At 47.3% G+C, this 18,757-nt stretch overlaps 1 protein-coding gene across 4 annotated transcripts in view; it reads left to right on the top strand.

The window, feature by feature from the left end:
- NSDHL (NAD(P) dependent 3-beta-hydroxysteroid dehydrogenase NSDHL) overlaps positions 1 to 15,958 on the top strand; it is a 38,667-nt gene extending 22,709 nt beyond the window's left edge. For all 4 annotated transcript variants that reach the window (NM_001441099.1, NM_001129765.2, NM_015922.3 and 1 more), the window contains 5 exons: positions 4,999 to 5,145; positions 8,825 to 8,953; positions 12,048 to 12,190; positions 13,800 to 13,902; positions 15,013 to 15,958. In NM_001441099.1, coding sequence (NP_001428028.1) covers positions 4,999 to 5,145; positions 8,825 to 8,953; positions 12,048 to 12,190; positions 13,800 to 13,902; positions 15,013 to 15,345 — 855 coding nt within the window. In that variant the 3' untranslated portion in view covers positions 15,346 to 15,958. The remainder of the gene's footprint in view (positions 1 to 4,998; positions 5,146 to 8,824; positions 8,954 to 12,047; positions 12,191 to 13,799; positions 13,903 to 15,012) is intronic.

The following is an 18,757-nucleotide window of genomic DNA, read 5'->3' on the forward strand; positions in this document are numbered from 1 at the left end:
TGAACCACAGAACTTGCTCCCTAGCTTCCTGTAAATCTCCAGCCACCCTGTGCTAAGGAACAGGCCCCCGCTGGTCTCCCTTACTCTGCTCTAGTTTCTGCATAACACCTGCCAGTACGGACGTCCTCTAGATTTACTTGTTTGTTTGCTTATTTGTCCTGATTGAAACATGATTGACCATGAGCGGATACAGAGCAGAGGAAATCTCTGAAATTTGTCCTCTCTACCATAGAATGTAAACTCCACAAAAGCAGGAATTTTGTTTTTCGATCACTGCTTTGTCCCCTCAAAGGAGACGAGAATCCTTAGCAAGCTTTCACTTCTCTCCAAAAGGCTCCCCCGCTGCCATGCTGTTGTTGCTAGTATGTTATTTCAGCTTTCCTTGAGTACAGATTTCAAGGGAACCCTCCAGCATGCCATGTTGTTCTCCAGCCACACTCAACTGCTCAGCCGCAAGCGTGGAGAAGGGGCGAGTTGCATTTAACCAGGGTTGGAGTTTACTAGACAAATTTAATAAAGGGAGAGGGGAACAAGGCAAAGGTGGTGCTGGTGGATCATGAAATCTAAGCTAAGTCCAAGGTCGATGTGATGTGGGTGAAAGACATGGCAGGAGAGGACCTTTTTTATTTTATTTTATTTTATTTTATTTTTATTTTTATTTTTTTAGACATAGTCTTGCTCTGTTGCCCAGACTGTGGCACAATCTAAGCTCACTGCAGCCTCCGCCTCCCAGGTTCAAGCGATGCTCCTGCCTCAGCCTCCCTAATAGCTGGGATTATAGGTGCCCACCGCCACACCCGGCTAATTTTTGTATTTTTAGTAGAGATAGGGTTTCACCATGTTGGCCAGGCTGGTCTTGAACTCCTTGTATCAGGTGATCCGCCCGCCTCTGCCTCCCAAAGTGCTGGGATTACAGGTGTGAGCCACTGCGCCCAGCCGAGAAGGACTTTTAAAATGTACTTTCACCTGGGTGTGGTGGTATGCACTTGTAGTCCCCCAGCTATTTGGAAGGCCAAGGTGGGAGGATCACTTGAGGCCAGGAGTTCAAGACTAACCTGGACTACATAACAAGACCCCCCCCATTTCTTTTTTTTTAAAAATGTGTTTTTATAGTCAGTAGAGAGAGAGAGAGAGAGAGGAGAGAGACAGATATACATACATATAGATAAAGTTTATGTATATATAGTTATATAGTTTTATACACACAATATGTATTACATAACACTTTTTTTTTTTTTTTTGAGACGGAGTCTTGCGCTGTCGCCCAGGCTGTAGTGCAGTGGCGTGATCTTGACTCACTGCAAACTCTACCTCCTGGGTTCAAGCAATTCTCCTGCCTCAGCCTCCCGAGTAGCTGGGATTACAGGCGCCCACCACCACCCATGACTAATTTTTATATTCTTAGTAGAGACAGGGTTTCACCATGTTGGCCAGGCTAGTCTTGAACTCCTGACCTCAAGTGATCCACCCGCCTCGGCCTCCCAAAGTGCTCGGATTACAGGCATGAGCCACCGTTGCCACCGCGCCCGGCCCATGACACTTTTAAAGTCACCTCGGTCTTGTGCATCTTTTGTTGCTGACAGGAAGTCTACTCTCAAGCCGGTCGTTGTTCGTTTGTAGGTTGTCTGGCTTTCCCTCTTATGGTTTTTAGGATTTTATTTTTTATCATTTATAGTCTATAGAGAATATATCTGGGCCTGAGTTTTAGTTTTGATTTTAAATCTTAACACCTGGTAGGCCTGTGCAATCTGAAGATGAATGTCTTTCCTCATTTCTGGAAAATTCTTCAAAGATTAACTCTACCCCTTTTCTCTCTTTTCTCTCTTTCTAGAAGCCGTGCTGGACATATGGTGGTCTTTCATTGTATCATCTGTCTCTTATCCTCTCTTTCTTGCATTCCTTCTCTTTCTCTTTTTGTACTATTTCATAGGAGATTTCCTCCTCCCTGCCTCTGCTCATGGCCAATCGTGTTTCACCTATATTCCTCCTCAGATTATGTTGAAGTCAATCCTAGACATCATATCATTTTATCTGCAAATATTTCAGTATTTGTCTCTAAAAGATAAGGATTATTTTTAAAAACATTGACAGTAGTTCCTTAGTATCTAGCCAGCGTTCAGATATCCCTGAATGTCTTATAAATGTTTTTGTATTATTGTTTTTCCAAATAAGGAACCAAGCAAGATCAAGACTATGGATTTGGTTGAAATATTTAGCTCTCTTTTAATTTACGATTCCCTTCATTTTTTTAAACTTCAGTCTATTTATTGAATAACTGATGTTTAGTAGAAACCATGTTTATGGTGCTGTAGTATTTCCCACAGTCTGGGTTTTGCCGATTACATCCCCATTGCGTTTAACATGCCCTTCTGTCCTCCAGTATTTTCTGTATACTGGTAGATCTGGGATGGCGCTGTCCATTAAGGCAGCCATTAGCCACGTGCAACTATTGGGCACTTAAAATGTGGCAAGTCAGAATTGAGAAGCACTGTAAGTGTGAAGTCCACACCAGATTTCAAAAACTACCTACAGAAAAAAGGAATGTAACTGTCTCATTAAAGTTAATTTCACCTTTTTCTTTTTACTTTTTAATGTCATTACTATAAACTTTAAAGTCACTGTGACTTTTATTATGTTTCTACTGGACTAAAGACTTGATCGGACTCTGGTTCAGTTTTTCCCTCTGGGGTATTATTACTTCTGATACTCCAATAGTAATAAGCATGCCTAGTGCTCAGATTTGGGTTTCTATATACCATTTCCCATAAAAAGAACTAGGGCTTCTTGGGAAAATTGCTCATTCTAGGACCCTAGGGCAAGGGCAGTACAAAATGAGTCTGGGACATTTTCTTAGCACAAAATGAATGGGGACCTGCCAAGAAGATACAAGAGCCAACTTGAAGGGCTTCCCCTGGCCAAATTTGGGACATTTTGAGCATTTTGAGCCTCTCAAAACATAACAGTAGTGGATGACAATGCATTTTGATTTCAAAAAGAATCCGTGGGCTGGGTGCAGGGCTAGCGCCTGCAATGCCAGCACTTTGGGAGGCCAAGACAGGTGGATCACCTGAGGTCAGAAGTTCGAGACCAGCCTTGCCAACATGGTGAAACCCCATCTCTACTAAAATACAAAAAAATTAGCCGGGCATGGTGGCATACGCCTGTAATCCCAGCTACTCGGGAGAATCGCTTGAGCCCGGGAGGCAGAGGTTGCAGTGAGCTGAGATCATGCCACTGCACTCCAGCCTTGCCGACAGAGCGAGACAATGTCTCAAAAAAATAAAATAAAAAAGAATCCATGGGTCCATAGAAATACTGAAAATAACAATTGGGGTCAGGGAGAAGGGGAAGCTCTACAGAGGAATGCCAACTAATAAATGTAAAGGCCATGAATTAAAAGGCTAGACTTAGAATGTCACCATTTTATACCCAGTACATTGATTATTGTTCCAGGCAAGGACTATCAATAAATGCTGAGGTTAATTGGTAGAATTAACATGCTACAGATTACTTATCAATTGCAAAGGAAAAGGTACCTTTTTGATGGCCGGAATCTGGCAGCCATCATCATCACCACGTGCTCCAACTTAATATCACCAAAAGTGGGACAGACTTGCACCTCCTGAGGTAATTCCCTGAGAAGGACACACCACCACTGATGTGGTATTCTTGCCAAAACCATTAAGCCTGAATCTAATCTTGAGGAAACAGACTAATCCAAACTGAAGGACAGTCTATAAAATAACCCAAACCCTTGAAAAATGGCAGCATTAAAATAAGACAGAAAAGACGGGAATTTGTCTCAGATTAAAAGAGATGGAAGAGACCTGAGGACTAAATACTACATGTCATGCGCAATTGGATCCTGGACCCCAAAACAAAAGGCTATAAAAGACATTACTGGGACAATTGGGGGAATTTGAATATAGACTAATTATTGGATAAGAACATCATATCTGTTAAGTTTCTTGAGTGTGATCATTGTTTTATGGTTATTTAGGAGAATGCTTTTGTTCTTAGGAGATACCTGTGAAGCGTTTAGAGGCAGCATGATGTCTGCAACTTACTTGACTGGTTTCAAAAAAAAAATCATGTGATTGTATGTAGAGAGAGGAAATTGTGGCAAAATATTAATTGGCACATAATTGTCATAATTGTCTTTTGGTGACAAACATGAATCATACTTAGATCATATTACTTAATTAAGGTTTGACAAAATGATGACATGCTATTAGTCTTCATTTAGTAGCTCCAGTCTTTATACCTTAATGCAGAATAAATATTTGATTCTTTCCCTTTATTTACCTGAATTTTTATTCTTGCTTGTGGTCAAGCTGTCCCTTCTTTGCCCAGTGGGAACCTCTTCAGGTTGGCCCTTGAGTGCTTTTAACGTGACCCCGGTAGTCTTAGCTAGCTAGCATCCTCACTCTCTGGTACAAGGTGTGCCTGGTTCCTCTTGTGTGTTTCCTGTCCCAGATCTGCAATCAGCCATTTCTCTCAGGAGCTCTTGTTCCTTTTAGCAGTAAATCAAACAGACCTGTTTTAAAAATCCCTTTCAGGTTGCTGTATTGTGTCAAGTTTCACAGGAAGGAATATGCCTGTGTATTGGCTATTTACTGTCTTTAATGGTGTGGAACTTTTTCATGTGATTCATAATTTCTATCTGAGTTCACCTTCCTGGGGAGTTTTACCTCCTAGGTGCCTGCTCTGAACCACCCAAAAGGATGTTGCCTCTGTGTGGATCCCACAGGCTTCTCATGCCCCAAACCCCTTTTGACTGGGGACTAGTTAGTGGGGAGAAGGTGATTAAAGGGACAACTTGGTTTCCATCCCATGTACTTCGGTATCATTGATTCTTTTATGAGAATGTATTTCCATATTGATTATAGAATTATAAGACAAGGAACCTACAAGCCACAGGTTGGAGGGTGAAAACATGAGAATGCCATTGACCTGTCAAAGCAGGAATGATTATTTTGTCTTTCTTTGCTTTTCCAGGATCTGTACCCAGCTCTGAAAGGTGTAAACACAGTTTTCCACTGTGCGTCACCCCCACCATCCAGTAACAACAAGGAGCTCTTTTATAGAGTGAATTACATTGGCACCAAGAATGTCATTGAAACTTGCAAAGAGGCTGGGGTTCAGGTAAGGGGAAGGCTGGAGTGAGTGCTGTCAGGAGCACGTGATGGCCCTTTCTAAGGGTGCAAGGCCGTAGTTCTTGCAGTCTCCCTGGGCCTAGGCGGGGTTGCTTCTTAAAGTGTTGGGAAGATCTTAGAAATGAAGCCCTTGGAGTCACTGGAGATGGTGAAGGTCTGCTTGCCAAGGCTGATTTGAGATGTAATATTCTAACTGCACACAAATAGAACATCTGAGGACCTCAAGCCTATTGGCCTTCAGTTAAAGAGCTGCAGAACTTAGACATTGCTTATATTTTTATTGTGATAAAATATATATCACATACAATTTACCATCCTAACCATTTTTAAGTGCGGAGTTCAGTGGCATTAAGTACACTCACAATGTTGTATAGCCATTACCACCATCCATCTCTAAACCTTTTTCTTCTTCCCTAATAAAAACTCTATACCCATTAAACAGCAACTCCTCAATCGCCCTTCCCTACCCAGCCCCTGGCAACTACCCTTCTACTTTCTGTCTCTATGGGTTTGACAACTATAGGGACCTCACAGAAGTGGACTCATGTAGTATTTCTCCTTTTGTGTCTGGCTTTTCACCGAGCATGATGTCCTCAGGGGTCATCCATGTTGTAGCATGTGTCGGAATGTCCTTCCTTTTTCAGGCAGAACAATATTTCATTGTATGGATGGGCCACATTTTGTTTATTCATTCAGCCATGGATGGACATCTGTGTTGTCTTCACCTTTTGGCAATTGTAAACAATAGTGTTATGAACACAAGTGTACAAATATCTGTTCAAGTCCCTGTTTTCAATTCTTTCAGGCATCTACCCAGAAGTAGGGTTGCTAGATCATATACTAGTTCTACGTTTAACCTTTTGAGGAGCCACCACATTGTTTTCCAGACCTTGCTTATATTTTAAAAGAAAAGCAAACTGTGTTTACCCTTAGCCAATAGAAACGTGTTATAACTCAGGCCTGAGGGGATACGAATTTTCTGCCCATCATAGCTTGCTGCATCGTTACCAATCCTGGTTCTTAGAATTGTCTTTAGAGGACTCCAGCCACTGGCTAAAACGGCTCCCTGTCAGCTCAGTATCCTGACCCTCACAGGGATGCATGCCACAGGTACTGCATAAATTAAGAGAAAAACTTGAAGCAAGCCAGGGGGTTCCTCTCCCAACAACCTGTCCTGGCACTGTTGGCTGGTCCGCAGCATCCTCAGCCGGCCCAGCAGGGTTGGAGCTCTTCTGGGCTTGGGCCCTGGAAAAGATCACTTATAACTGACCCCTAGCAGTTGACAAGATGCTTTGCCCTGCTGAAGTTTTCACCTAATTAGCTCCTCGTTGGGTGACCAGGGGCTAAACGATGTCTCTTTGCTAGTAAATGGGAGAGGTGGGGTCAAAGCAGATTCTCCAAGTCCCAGACTCTGCACTCAGCCATGCTGATGTAACTGGAGCCCTGGGAAGGGCCCTGCTGCTCTTTGTTAAATGGAAGGTTGGGGGCATACAACAAAGATTTGTGCCCCAGGTGTGGCGGCTCACACATGTAATCCCAGCGCTTTGGGAGGCCAAGGCAGGAAGATCCCTTGAGCCAAGGAGTTCAAGACCAGCCTGAGCAACATAGCAATACCCCACCTCTACACGAATTTTTAAAAGCCAGGTGTGGTGGTATGCACCTGTAGCCTCAACTGTTTCGGGACGCTGAGGCAGGAGGATCGCTTGAGCCCAGGATTTTCAGGCTGCAGTGAGCTGTGATCCCAACACTACACCCCAGCCTAGGCAACAGAGCAAGACCTTGTCTCTTAAAAAAAAAATTAAAAAAACAACAAGATTTGAGAATAAAACAGCACCTCTCCACTCACCACAGCATTTAAGAAACAACATTACTGGCATGTGTAATGTGTGCCCATCCTCGATGCCATTGCTCTCTTCTTGTAGCCATGGATAGCAATTCTGAATTTGGGTTTATTTCCATTTGCTCCATGTGTAAGCAATATAAAGTATTGGATTGCATGTTATAAGATTTTATACAATGATATCTTATTGAACAGATCCTCCTGCAACTTGCTTTTTTCCCCAGTGTTATGTTTTTCTTTATTCATCTTGGCATATGTAACTCTGGTTTATTTACTGAAGGGGCAGAGTGGCTTAGTGGGTAAGAGTGCAGAAAGTGATTGCTGTGTTGTATTGAAGGAACATTTTCCAACACTGAGATCAAAAGATTATTTAATGTACTTTTTTTCCTCAAAGGTTTTAAGTGTTGCTTTCCACATTTCAGTCTTTAATCCACCAGGAATTTATGTTTGCTTATGGTGTGAGATAGAGATCTAACTTTCTTCCATGTGTATAACCAGTTCAGTGCCATTTATTGCATAATCCATCCTTTCTGCATCGCTGCACACCATCTGCAGCATGTCTTAGGTGTTTGTGTCTTACATGGGCCTGTTCCCAGGCTCTCCCCTCTGCCCCATTGACCTCCCTGTCTGCCCATGCAGAGAAGCTCTGCCTTTTTAGGATAAGTCTCAGTGTACCGTAGATAAATCACGCCCCCAACCAATTTCTTCAAACTTCACTTGGCTATTCTGAGCCCTTTGTTCTTCTACATATGTTTGGCTTAACCAGTTCCTTGCTAAAGCCAGCTGAGACTGCTGTTGTAATTGTGTTGAACTTGTAGGTAATTTTGGAGAGAATTGACATCTTTCCCATATTGAGTGTTCCTGTCCATAAATATGGGATATGTTTCTGTTTATCTCGCTCTTTAATGTCATCAATAGAGTTTTATACTTTACTTCGTAAAGATTTTGCATATCTCGTTAAATTTATTTGTATGTACTTCGTTTTTTGTTATTTAATAACTTTCTATTACATTTTCAGTTATTGCTAATATATAAGACGAGTTAATTTTTGTATATTGATTTTTAATTCAGCAACTTTGCCAAACGCTAATATTTTCTACATATTTGCCTGTGTTTTCTGTGTAGATTTTTCTCTCATCTGTAAGCGATGGAAGTTCAGTTTCTTTTCAAATCATTATAAATTCGTGTTTATCTTACCCTACCACTCTGGCTAGAGCTTCTCATACAATGTTGAATAAGAATGGGAACGATATGATTCATGCTAATGGTGTTCAGTGTTGGATGAGCTTCTCTTAACCAGCAGGCTGGACGCTGGGGACCCTCATAAGAGAATATCTTCCTTTAGAATAGCATTTCTTAAGAGGTCGTGTGGTGTGTGTATTCCTATGTGTGTTCACATGGCCAGGTCACTATCAGAATAGCCAGTGATCTTTTTCAGACATCTTCCTAGAAGTTTGCGGGCTGCCCTTCACTTACAACAGAGAATCGCTGTCATAGTGAGATACCATGAATGCAAGTCTATTCTATCTCTCAGGTGTGATGGGATAGAAAAAATGTGTTATCCCTTGTTTTGAAACCAAGATCTCTTGATTCTTGGTTAGAATGTAATACATAGTGTGTCTGGAATCCACATAGCTGCAAAAGATGGTGATCTTTGGATTATTTTAAGAAGGCATGAAAAGCAAAGGCATTGCAGCAAATAATTTCTTCAGTGCCTCGAATGCGAGGGCAACAAAGGGATGCCCCTGATTCTCTTTCATACAGGATCATGCACTGTTTGAATTGTGATAATTTGTGACTTTTATTTTTTCTGACCTTCCTCTGTCAGAAACTCATTTTAACCAGCAGTGCCAGTGTCATCTTTGAGGGCGTCGATATCAAGAATGGAACTGAAGACCTTCCCTATGCCATGAAACCCATTGACTACTACACAGAGACTAAGATCTTACAGGAGAGGGTATGTACCTTGGAACTGGTTGAGTGAGCAGACTGAAGGGTTTAGAATCCTAAGAAAAATGTTTATGAACTTATGAAGTTTGTATTCTGAGGCCTACGTACCTGATTTGAGATGTAAAATTTGTGGGTGAAATTAAATTTAAAAATACTGTGAGAGGCCGGGCACGGTGGCTCACGCTTATAATCCCAGCACTTTGGGAGGCCGAGGTGGGTGGATCACCTGAGGTCAGGAGTTCGAGACCAGCCTGGCCAACATGGCGAAACCCCATCTCTACTAAAAATACAAAAATTAGCCCAGCATGGTGGCAGGCGCCTGTAATCCTAGCCACTTGGGAGGCTGAGGTATGAGAATTGCTTGAACCTGGGAGGCGGAGGTTGCAGTGAGCCGAGATTGTGCCATTGCACTCCAGCCTGGGGGATAGAGAGAGAGAGACGCTGTCTCCCAAAAAAAAAAAAGTTACTATGAGAACAGCTTTATGTGGCCAGACACTGTTCTGAGTGTTTTCCAGGAGTATTTTCCTTGTTTAAAGGTCACAATTATCGCATCATCACCAGATTATAGATGAAGACTGTGGTGCACAGATGCACAGAGAGGCTCAGAACCTTTCTAAAACTGTGCAGCTAGGAGGTGGCTGACCCCAGGCAGTCTGTCTACAGAGCTTACAGCCCACCCTCAATGCCATGGGAGCTTCCTCGCCTGCTATGGGAATTTACAGCAGTTGCAAGCGTGCAGACAGGAATCAGGCTGGAGGCACCTTCCTAGTGGCACTCTCACCCCCTCCCTTACTTAGAAAAACAAACAACGGAAGGATCTTGCTTTATTTTAAGGAAAAAGTACTTTTCCACTTGGCAAAACAGCTTCATCAAAGGGCACCTGATTTTAGTATGGTTGGATTCAGCCACGGTCGCTACCAAGCCTTCAGGCTGCTGGGGCTGTGGGGCCCCTGACAACTGCTAGCTGCAGATGGGGATTGTCACCCTGAGGCCATCCTAAGCTGCAGGCCAGGAGTGCTCCTGAGCCTGGGATAGCTCGTCTTAGCTGGGTAGCTGTGAGTATACCCCTCCCAGGTGTGTGCAGTGTATCACACCCACTGAGGTTTTCTCGCAAAGCCGGTACATGCTGTACTGGAGCTGAACACTGACCTGGCTACCTGAGAGCCAGCTGCCTCCTGGCTGTTTGCCGTATTTTTTTTTTTTTTCTTTTTTGAGATGGATTCTCACTCTGTTGCCCAGGCTGGAGTGCAGTGGCACGATCTCGGCTCACTGCAACCTCCACCTCCCAGGTTCAAGCGATTCTCCTGCCTCAGCCTCCTGAGTAGCTGGGATTACAGGCGCGTGCCACCATGCCCGGCTAATTTTTGTATTTTTAGTAGAGACGGGGTTTCACCGTGTTGGTCGGATGGTCTCGAACTCCTGACCTCATGATCTGCCCGCCTTGGCCTCTCAAAGTGCTGGGATTACAGGCGTGAGCCACCATGCCCAGCCTGTCTGCTGTTGCTTCAGCTCAGAAAGTCCTGGCAGAACTGGTCCACAGGGAGACACAAGGGCCACCCAGACCAGGGGTGGAGGCTTGAACTTTGGCAAGCCACAGTCCTGGCTCCAGACTATGCTGTCTTGCTCCTTGGAGCACTCATGTGCTCGAACTTGGCCCAAGGAGTACTAAAGCCTCCCTGCGCCTTGCAGGCAGTTCAGTCACCATGGAGACCCTGTGTATTCTCAACCCAATATGCCTGATACTGATTGCCACCAGAGCTGAGCCCATCTAGGCTCAGGAGCTTCAAATGATGGCCTTGGCCCAGACCATCAGTGTCTCGCTTATATCAACTTTTGGGTTCTCAACTGGAAATAAGCAAAGCCTGCAGATGACTCCAGCAGTAACTCACCGGAAGCCTCCTTTCAGCCGAGGTTGACATCCACTGTTGGCTTTATAACCTTCCTACTGATCATAAACCAAATGTGATGGGGAGCTAGGACTCCTTCACCTCTCTTCCCTTTAGTAGTAGAGATGAGCCTTGGTGGAAGCCATTTGAGGGTTTATTTAGTCATTTCCTCCATCGCTGTGGGGACCAGAGTCCTGGCGGGAAGAGGAGGGCCAGCTCTGGGAATCTGTTGAGAGGCAGCTTTTCCATTGTTGAGTTGCTTAAGATCACTGGGGCCAAAACATAGACCAGCACTTTGCTACCATAGAGTAGAAGAAACCCGAGGTGACATGACAGCAGGAACCGTACTTACCAAGCATACAGACACGCACTGAAGCAACTCACATGGGCCATCTCGTGTAATTCGCATGCAGCCCCGTCAGGGTAGGTACCTTTATGATCACCACTTTTACCCACGATAAAACAAATCCTTTGGAAAGTTTTGTTACTTTTGAGGCGAAACCCATTTCACTGTGCTTTAGACTCTTGAGTTCTAGTTTGTCCATGAAGTCACACAGAAGTCACCCTTTCCTTGCGGTGGCAACAGGAGCACTGGCTCTGGACCAGGCACTGCTCTGAGGACTTTACATGTCTCGGCCTCCTTTGCCCCCCAGCTGCTGGCCTGTTTCTCCCCAGGCATGGTCTTCAGACCCTTCACCTTCTCTGACCCTCTTCTGGGCCCACTTGGGTTTCTCAGAGCCCTCCCCTCGGAGGTGATACTCAGAATTGCCTGGAACAGACCCGGCCTGGTGGAAACGTGGGCGGCACATGCAGTTCAAGTCACTGGAGGCTCACGGCTAACTTGTTTGCCAGAACCTTTGGACGTTTTCCACAAACTGCTGCCGAGGCATGTCTTCTGGCAGTGTTGGTGGATTTTAGCCTTTGAACGCAAACCAGGGCCTTCTGATTTGATCTTACCAGTTTTTGCCCAGCTGTCTGTCCTGCATTTTCAGATTTTGGTGTGAGGGTGGGTGGGGTAGAGAGGTAGCCCAGAATTATACCAGCCACTGATGTAGGTTGTCAGCTCAAGGCAGACCACTGCTCAGTGGCCACATGCCAGCAGAGTGTGTCATCTGTCTGTCCCCCACGAGTGGTGCTTCTCACCCAGCGAGGCACTCTCTTGGCTTGGGCCTAGGAATTTGCAATGGACGTGCCCCTTCTCCCACTCTCCTCCAGGCAGTTCTGGGCGCCAACGATCCTGAGAAGAATTTCTTAACCACAGCCATCCGCCCTCATGGCATTTTCGGCCCAAGGGACCCGCAGTTGGTACCCATCCTCATCGAGGCAGCCAGGAACGGCAAGATGAAGTTCGTGATTGGGTGAGTCAGCCCACAGCGGCTCTTCCCTAGTCCTTCCTGGTCCATGCTCGCATTCAGAGAGCACTTGGCAGGAGCCACATGGCATTGTAGCTCTTTTCTTATGTGACTGTCTTGGTCCATGCAGGCTGCTGTAACAAAATACCTAAGACTGGGTAACAAACAACAGAGAGCTTGGAGGCTGGGAAGTCCAGATCAAGGCGTTCCCAGACTGGGTGTCCATTGAGGCCCTGTTCCTCATGAGTGGCACCTTTTCACCATGTCCTCACATGGTGGAAGGGGCAAACAGGCTCCCTTGGGCCTCTTTTATGAGGACACTAATCCCATTCCCGAGGGCAGAGCCCCCATGACCTAATCACCCCCTAAAGGTCCCTCTTCACAGTACCATTGCACTGGAGGTTAAGTTTCAACATATGAATGTTGCGGGGATGCAAAGATTCAGGCGATAGCAGTGACCTTGTCCGCTGTCCTCTGTATTCATTTCTTGTAGTTGCCATAACAACCTGCCACAAAGTAAGTGCTTAAAACAACAAATGGATTCTGTCACATTTTGGGAGGCCAGAAGTCCTCAGTTAAGATGTTGGCAGGGCTAGTGTCTTCTGGAGGTTCGCAGGGAGCGTCTGTTCCAGGCCTCTGCCCTAGCTTCTGCTGGCTTCCAGCCATCCTTAGCATTCTGTGCTTGGAGAGGCATCACTCCTGCCTCTGCGTCCCTTTCACATGGCTGTGTTCCTTGCTTTCTGTGTCCAAATTTCCCTCTTATAAGGACATCATTCCCTGGATTTAAAGCCCACCCTACCCCAGTATGAGCTCAGCTTAACTAATTGCATCTGCCGAGCCCCTATTTCCAAATAAGGTCACATTCACAAGGCCCAAGTGGACAGAAGCTTTGGGAGGATACTGTTCAATCCAGTGTACCCTCTCAGGTAGGCTGGGAAGGTATTTGTGACCCTGTTTGGAAATTGAAGAAACCGTGACTCAGAGGGAAAGCAATGGGCCCCGGGTCAAAGGCCAGGGCTTGACTGTCCTTGCATCTGGGAAGGCAGGCGGGGGCATTACTTTTCTCCTCGGGTTAAGTGCAGGTGGAGGGGCCTCCACAGGGGACAACAGTGTGCCTCTCTCCCAAATAGGCTTTCTCTTCCTTCATTTCCTCCTTTTCTCCTCTCTCTCTTCCTTCCTTTTTCCCTCTGCCTTGCCTTCCTGTTTCTCACTCAGCCTCACTGCTACCCTGACTTGTCACCTTGAAGGATTACAGGGAGACTGGTCAATAAACGGAGGACCAGAGCAAGGCGTTGGCCCCGTGTCTCCTGGGAAGGGGCTGAAAAGCTGCTACCCAAATCGGGACAGGAGAGACAGCACCAGTGTTGGCCATGCTGGAATGGGTGGGCAGGTCCCCCAGCTTTCAGATTCCACTAACCCTGAAGACCCAGGAGTCCCGGCCCAGTGTACATCTTTAACCAGTACAGGCATCCATGAGTGCCTGGGCCGGCCTTGCCAAGTGAGGTGGCAGCCATTCTGTAGGTCACAGTCTCTCAAATGCCAAGACTTGGGAGTGGCCCTGGCCTTCGTGCAGGGGCTCCCAGCACGTATTCCATCATCCCTTGTGCACCTGCAGAAATGGGAAGAACTTGGTGGACTTCACCTTTGTGGAGAACGTGGTCCATGGACACATCCTGGCGGCAGAGCAGCTCTCCCGAGACTCGACACTGGGTGGGAAGGTAAGGCCTGCTGCACCGGTCCCTGCACAGGTGCCTTTCTGCGGGTTTCTTCTCCTTGCCATTGGATTTGCTGGCAAGTTGCTCCTGTGATCCTGTATCATGGAGGATCTGCCTTAGGACCCCCTGTGCCAAGATCAAGCCCCTCTGATAGAGCATGTGGTGTCACTGCAGCGTCACATCACTTGGGCAGCCAAATTTGGAGAGCTGACGAGCTGGGATTGAACAGACATTCAGGTCACGGTCATCTATGGTCCCCTGACCTGGCTGCCCACCTGTTGGCATGGCTCCTTGTGGCAGGAGCCCACGTAGATTGGGCAGGGTGCTTGCTCCTCACCCTTTCTCCCACTCATTCCTCAGGTCTCTCCCTCCCTTGCTGTTTGGTCCTCTTTTATTCTCCTGAACCTCTGCCGTTTCCCCACTGATAACCTTCAAATAAGTTGGGAATAGGGTGGGTGTGGCATTTTTTTTTTCTTTTTTTTTTTTTGAGACAGTCTCACTCTGTCACCCTGGCTGGAGTGCAGTGGCGTGATCTCGGTTCACTGCAACCTCCGTCTCACTGGTTCAAGCGATTCTCATGCCTGAGCCTCCCGAGTAGCTGGGACTACAGGCACATGCCACCACGCTCAGCTAATTTTTTGTACTTTTAGTAGAGACGGGGTTTCACCATGTTGGCCAGGCTGGTCTCCTGACCTCAGGTGATCTGCCCGCCTCTGCGTCCCAAAGTGCTGGGGTGACAGGCGTGAGCCACCGCGCCTGGCCCGGGTGTGGCTTTTGATTTAAAACAAGCAGAACACCGTCAAGAAATGTAATATGAGGAATTCATTGCATCCAAAGATATGTAGATGAGTTTTATGATGATTAACAATTATCAAATTAACAAATGTGCCTTTCCAAGTGCAATCTATGCTTCATTTAAAATCCTGGCCCATAGATGAAACTTTCATTGTCTGCCCTTTCTATGCCTTAGCAGTTGTGCAATTGAGGGCAGGCCACGTGGAAAGCTGCAGCAATTAGGCAGTGAGAATGCGATCTGCACGGGCTTAATAGATGCTTCAACTTTGGGCAGGTGGGGGTGGTGTTTCTAACTTCTTGTTCTTGTTCTCCCGCCAGGCATTTCACATCACCAATGATGAGCCCATCCCTTTCTGGACATTCCTGTCTCGCATCCTGACAGGCCTCAATTATGAGGCCCCCAAGTACCACATCCCCTACTGGGTGGCCTACTACCTGGCCCTCCTGCTATCCCTGCTGGTGATGGTGATCAGTCCTGTCATCCAGCTGCAGCCCACCTTCACACCCATGCGGGTCGCACTGGCTGGCACATTCCACTACTACAGCTGCGAGAGAGCCAAAAAGGCCATGGGCTACCAGCCACTAGTGACCATGGATGATGCTATGGAGAGGACCGTGCAGAGCTTTCGCCACCTGCGGAGGGTCAAGTGAGGGACACTGGAGGCTGGGCTCTCTCGACACGTTGCTCAGCCAGTCACTCCTTCCCCTGTGGATTGATGAAATAACATCCTTTGAATGAGTTTGCTCTGAGCCTGTGACTCCTTCTGCTAGGCAGAGAGCGCACCCTACTCTTTCCGTGACGATGAGGGCGGCAAAAACAGACATTTCTTCCTTCATGGAACTGGATTTGGATTTCTTGAAGCAGGCAGCTTCATATTATACCGATTTGTTCTCTGTCTTTTTGTGTCTCTCTGTTTACCCCCTCCCTTGCCCCCTCTTCTGGTTTATACATTTCATTCCAGTGTCCTTGTACATAATCAAGGAAGCTGTAGGAAGCTACAACCCATTTGTTAGTTCTGATGGAGAACCATTTCCATGCAGACCAATACTAGAGTGAAGCCTCTAGACTTTGTTCAAGATACTCTATCTTCAAAATATCCCAGAAGAAAAACAGAAGCTGTTAACACACAGGTGAGACTTTACATATACATTTCATACTGACAGTGAGCTTAGAGCAAAAGCTGAAAGCTGAAATGACTGTAATTCCTCCCCAGTCTCTGTTGCTTGTTCAACTCCTTACATGTTCCACATTCTCTTTCAGGTACGTTGCCGTGCCTGCCTGCATTGTTTTTTGTTGTGGTCGTTGTAGAGACAGAGTCTGAGTGTGTCTGTTGCCCAGCTGAGAGTGCACTGGCTAATCACAGGCCCAATCATAGAGCACTGCAGCCTTGAACTCTTGGGCTCAAGCAGTCCTCCCATCTCAGCCTCCTGAGAGCAAATGTGCGCCGCCACAGCAGGCTTGCACTGTTTTCACAAAACATTTCTCTTATCAACAGAGTTCTGTTGTTTTGAGAGGCAAGGCAGTGATCCAGCCCAGTGGCACCCTGTTTCATCTGTTCAGCTCCTCTCCTAATGTGGGACACTGGGCTGGGCGACAGTAAGCCAGGGAGCAGGAGGGGCTCCTTCCCTGCAGCTCACCCTCAGAACCCTTCAGGCCAGTTTCCAAAGGGCATAGCGTAGAGGATAATTCCTCGGAATGAGGAGAGACTGTGCTGCCCTCTGCTGATGGGGCAGGGGGATATAAACATAAATAAGACAGCCTTTGCCCCTAAGGCACTTAGAATCATGGACTTAAGATATGTTCGCAAGCCCCTGTAATGCCAGGCAGGACATGATACACACACTTAAGACGCAGTGGTAAATGTTCAGCTTCTGTCGAGGAGGTGATGCCTTGAGTCGGACCTTGAAGAATGGATAAGCAGTGAGACTTCACTGTCGAAGTTGGCATTTCAGGCTAAAGATGTCAGAGGGTCACAGTCAATGGCATGTCATAGTTTAATTAGCAGCACGTTGTGTTTCTTAGGGGTCCATGAGATAACGGTGTCTTAGATTCAGTGAAGGACAGACGTGCCAGCCTGGTTTGGCTGATGGTGCAAAGCTGAAGGGGATGTACTTTTATCTCCCAGGCAGTGGTGGCCAAGAATCAAGGAAACCATCGTGGCTCTTACGTGGAGCCTTCAGACAAGAAGCAACAAAGGCCCACGCGATGATGGAGTTGGGCGGGGGCGGTAGGGTTGGGGGTAGAAATGAAGCCTTACAAGAAATGGCCTGGAGGGGGTCCGCGCTCAGCACCTGATTTCCTGTGGGGAGTGAGAGGGAGGGAGGAGGCCACTCAGGCTGGAATGAAGCCGCAGAGCAGCTCTAAGCTGGTGGGAGGATGGTGTCGGGCCCGGAGTGGGTGAGGCCAGCAGACCTTGCTGATGAGCACCAAGGACCAAACTGCCCTCAGCTTCGACCTAACCACTCGCTCAGAAAAATACTAGCTGCCATCTAGACCAAAGATGTCCCTCATGGAACGTCTTCTCTGCCCTCTCTTCACTCATTAGACCACAGATAATCGTTGGGCCCTGCCCTGCGCTTCAGTGGTGAATAAAACACGCAGCCCACAGACCAATAGATTATTCAAAACTGCTGAAGTTTCCAAAAAAGAAAAGTGCAGGGTGCTATGAGAGGGACATAGGGCTGCAAGCAAGCCTGGCCCAGGTGGCGATCACGGCAGAACAGTTGCAGAAACAGTGCCTGCTCAGATCCGAAAGGTGAGGCTGTGCACAGAGACCCTGAGCCCCCCGCTGGCCAAGCTGACGACCTCCCAGCCGCTCCTTGTATTTCCCTGCATTCCTGACCCACACCTATCTCGACCCACCCGTTTGGAGAAAGTCTAACCACCAGGAAACCATAACCTCAGTACCCGCTGAGAGCTTGTTAGAAACCATCAGGCCCCACCCCGGAGCTACTGAACCGAGACCCTGGGCTTGGGCCAGCACTCTCTTCACAAGCCCTGTGGATGGTTTCTGACCAGTGAAGAAGCCTTCCTGCAGATCACTGAGTCCAGCTAGAACCTCCCCTTGGCTGCTGCAAGACTGAACTTGCCCTACTCACAGGCCCAGGGCCTGGGGGCCACCCCCACCCATTTCTTTCCTGACAGCTGATGGCATCCTAGAGTGCGGACCCAGGCCTATGTCTGTCCCTCGTGTCACATCCCATCTGGAGAATCGGGGCCAAGGGAAGGCAGTTCTCTCCCAGATTGGGGACAGCTAGAAGCCCTATTGCCAAGTGCTGCGTGTCCTTTGGGATGATCGCATTCAATCCCTCTTCCTTCCCTTCCCTATCGACACTGACCTAGTTCAGCACCTGACCCCATCTGCACCTAGGTCAGGTGTCCTGGGACAGCCGACCTGATCTGTCTGCTTACTTTCGCCCCTCCTCCCATCCAGCTGCTATGTGTACACCTAGGGTATCCAGTCTCTCTGCTAAAAACACTAAAGCAGGGTCCGATTTTCTCCCAGCCCACATTTCCAGCTCCTTCCACTGGTCTTCACACCTGCTGTGTTGTAGCCAAATGGAACCACGGTTTCCTGTTCACGCCCTGTCATGCATCCCCTGCTCAGGCTGTCATGACTGCATGCGATGTCCTCTCCCCACTGTGTCCCAGCTCCAGAATGGCCCGTTCCCTTCCCCTAAAAAGCCATGCCTAATCCTCCCAGTTGGAAACCACCTCTTTTCTCTGGATTCCCAGCCTGGGGCCCCTGACCTGTACCTCATTTTGTGTTTCCTATTTGTGCTTTTTCCTGCCCCCACCAGGCCAGGAGTTCTTAAGGACAGAGGCAATCAGTGTCCCCACAGCATAGTGGGTGCTCAGGAAACCTCCCTGTCTTGGAATCCTGGAGTCACAGTAGCAACAAAAGAAAGTGGTCCCAGGAATGGGGAAAGGCACAGCCCATGAGACTGGGTTGAAGCAGAGAGAGGTTCCCAACCTGCCATTCAGATGGGGCTTGAGGAGTCTGTGAACTCCCTAAATTCGATGCAGCCTCTGGGGGTGTGGGTGTGTGTGTGTGTGGGGGTG

The sequence above is a fragment of the Homo sapiens genome, chromosome X, assembly GCF_000001405.40.
Source record: "Homo sapiens chromosome X, GRCh38.p14 Primary Assembly".
Taxonomy (NCBI): domain Eukaryota; kingdom Metazoa; phylum Chordata; class Mammalia; order Primates; family Hominidae; genus Homo; species Homo sapiens.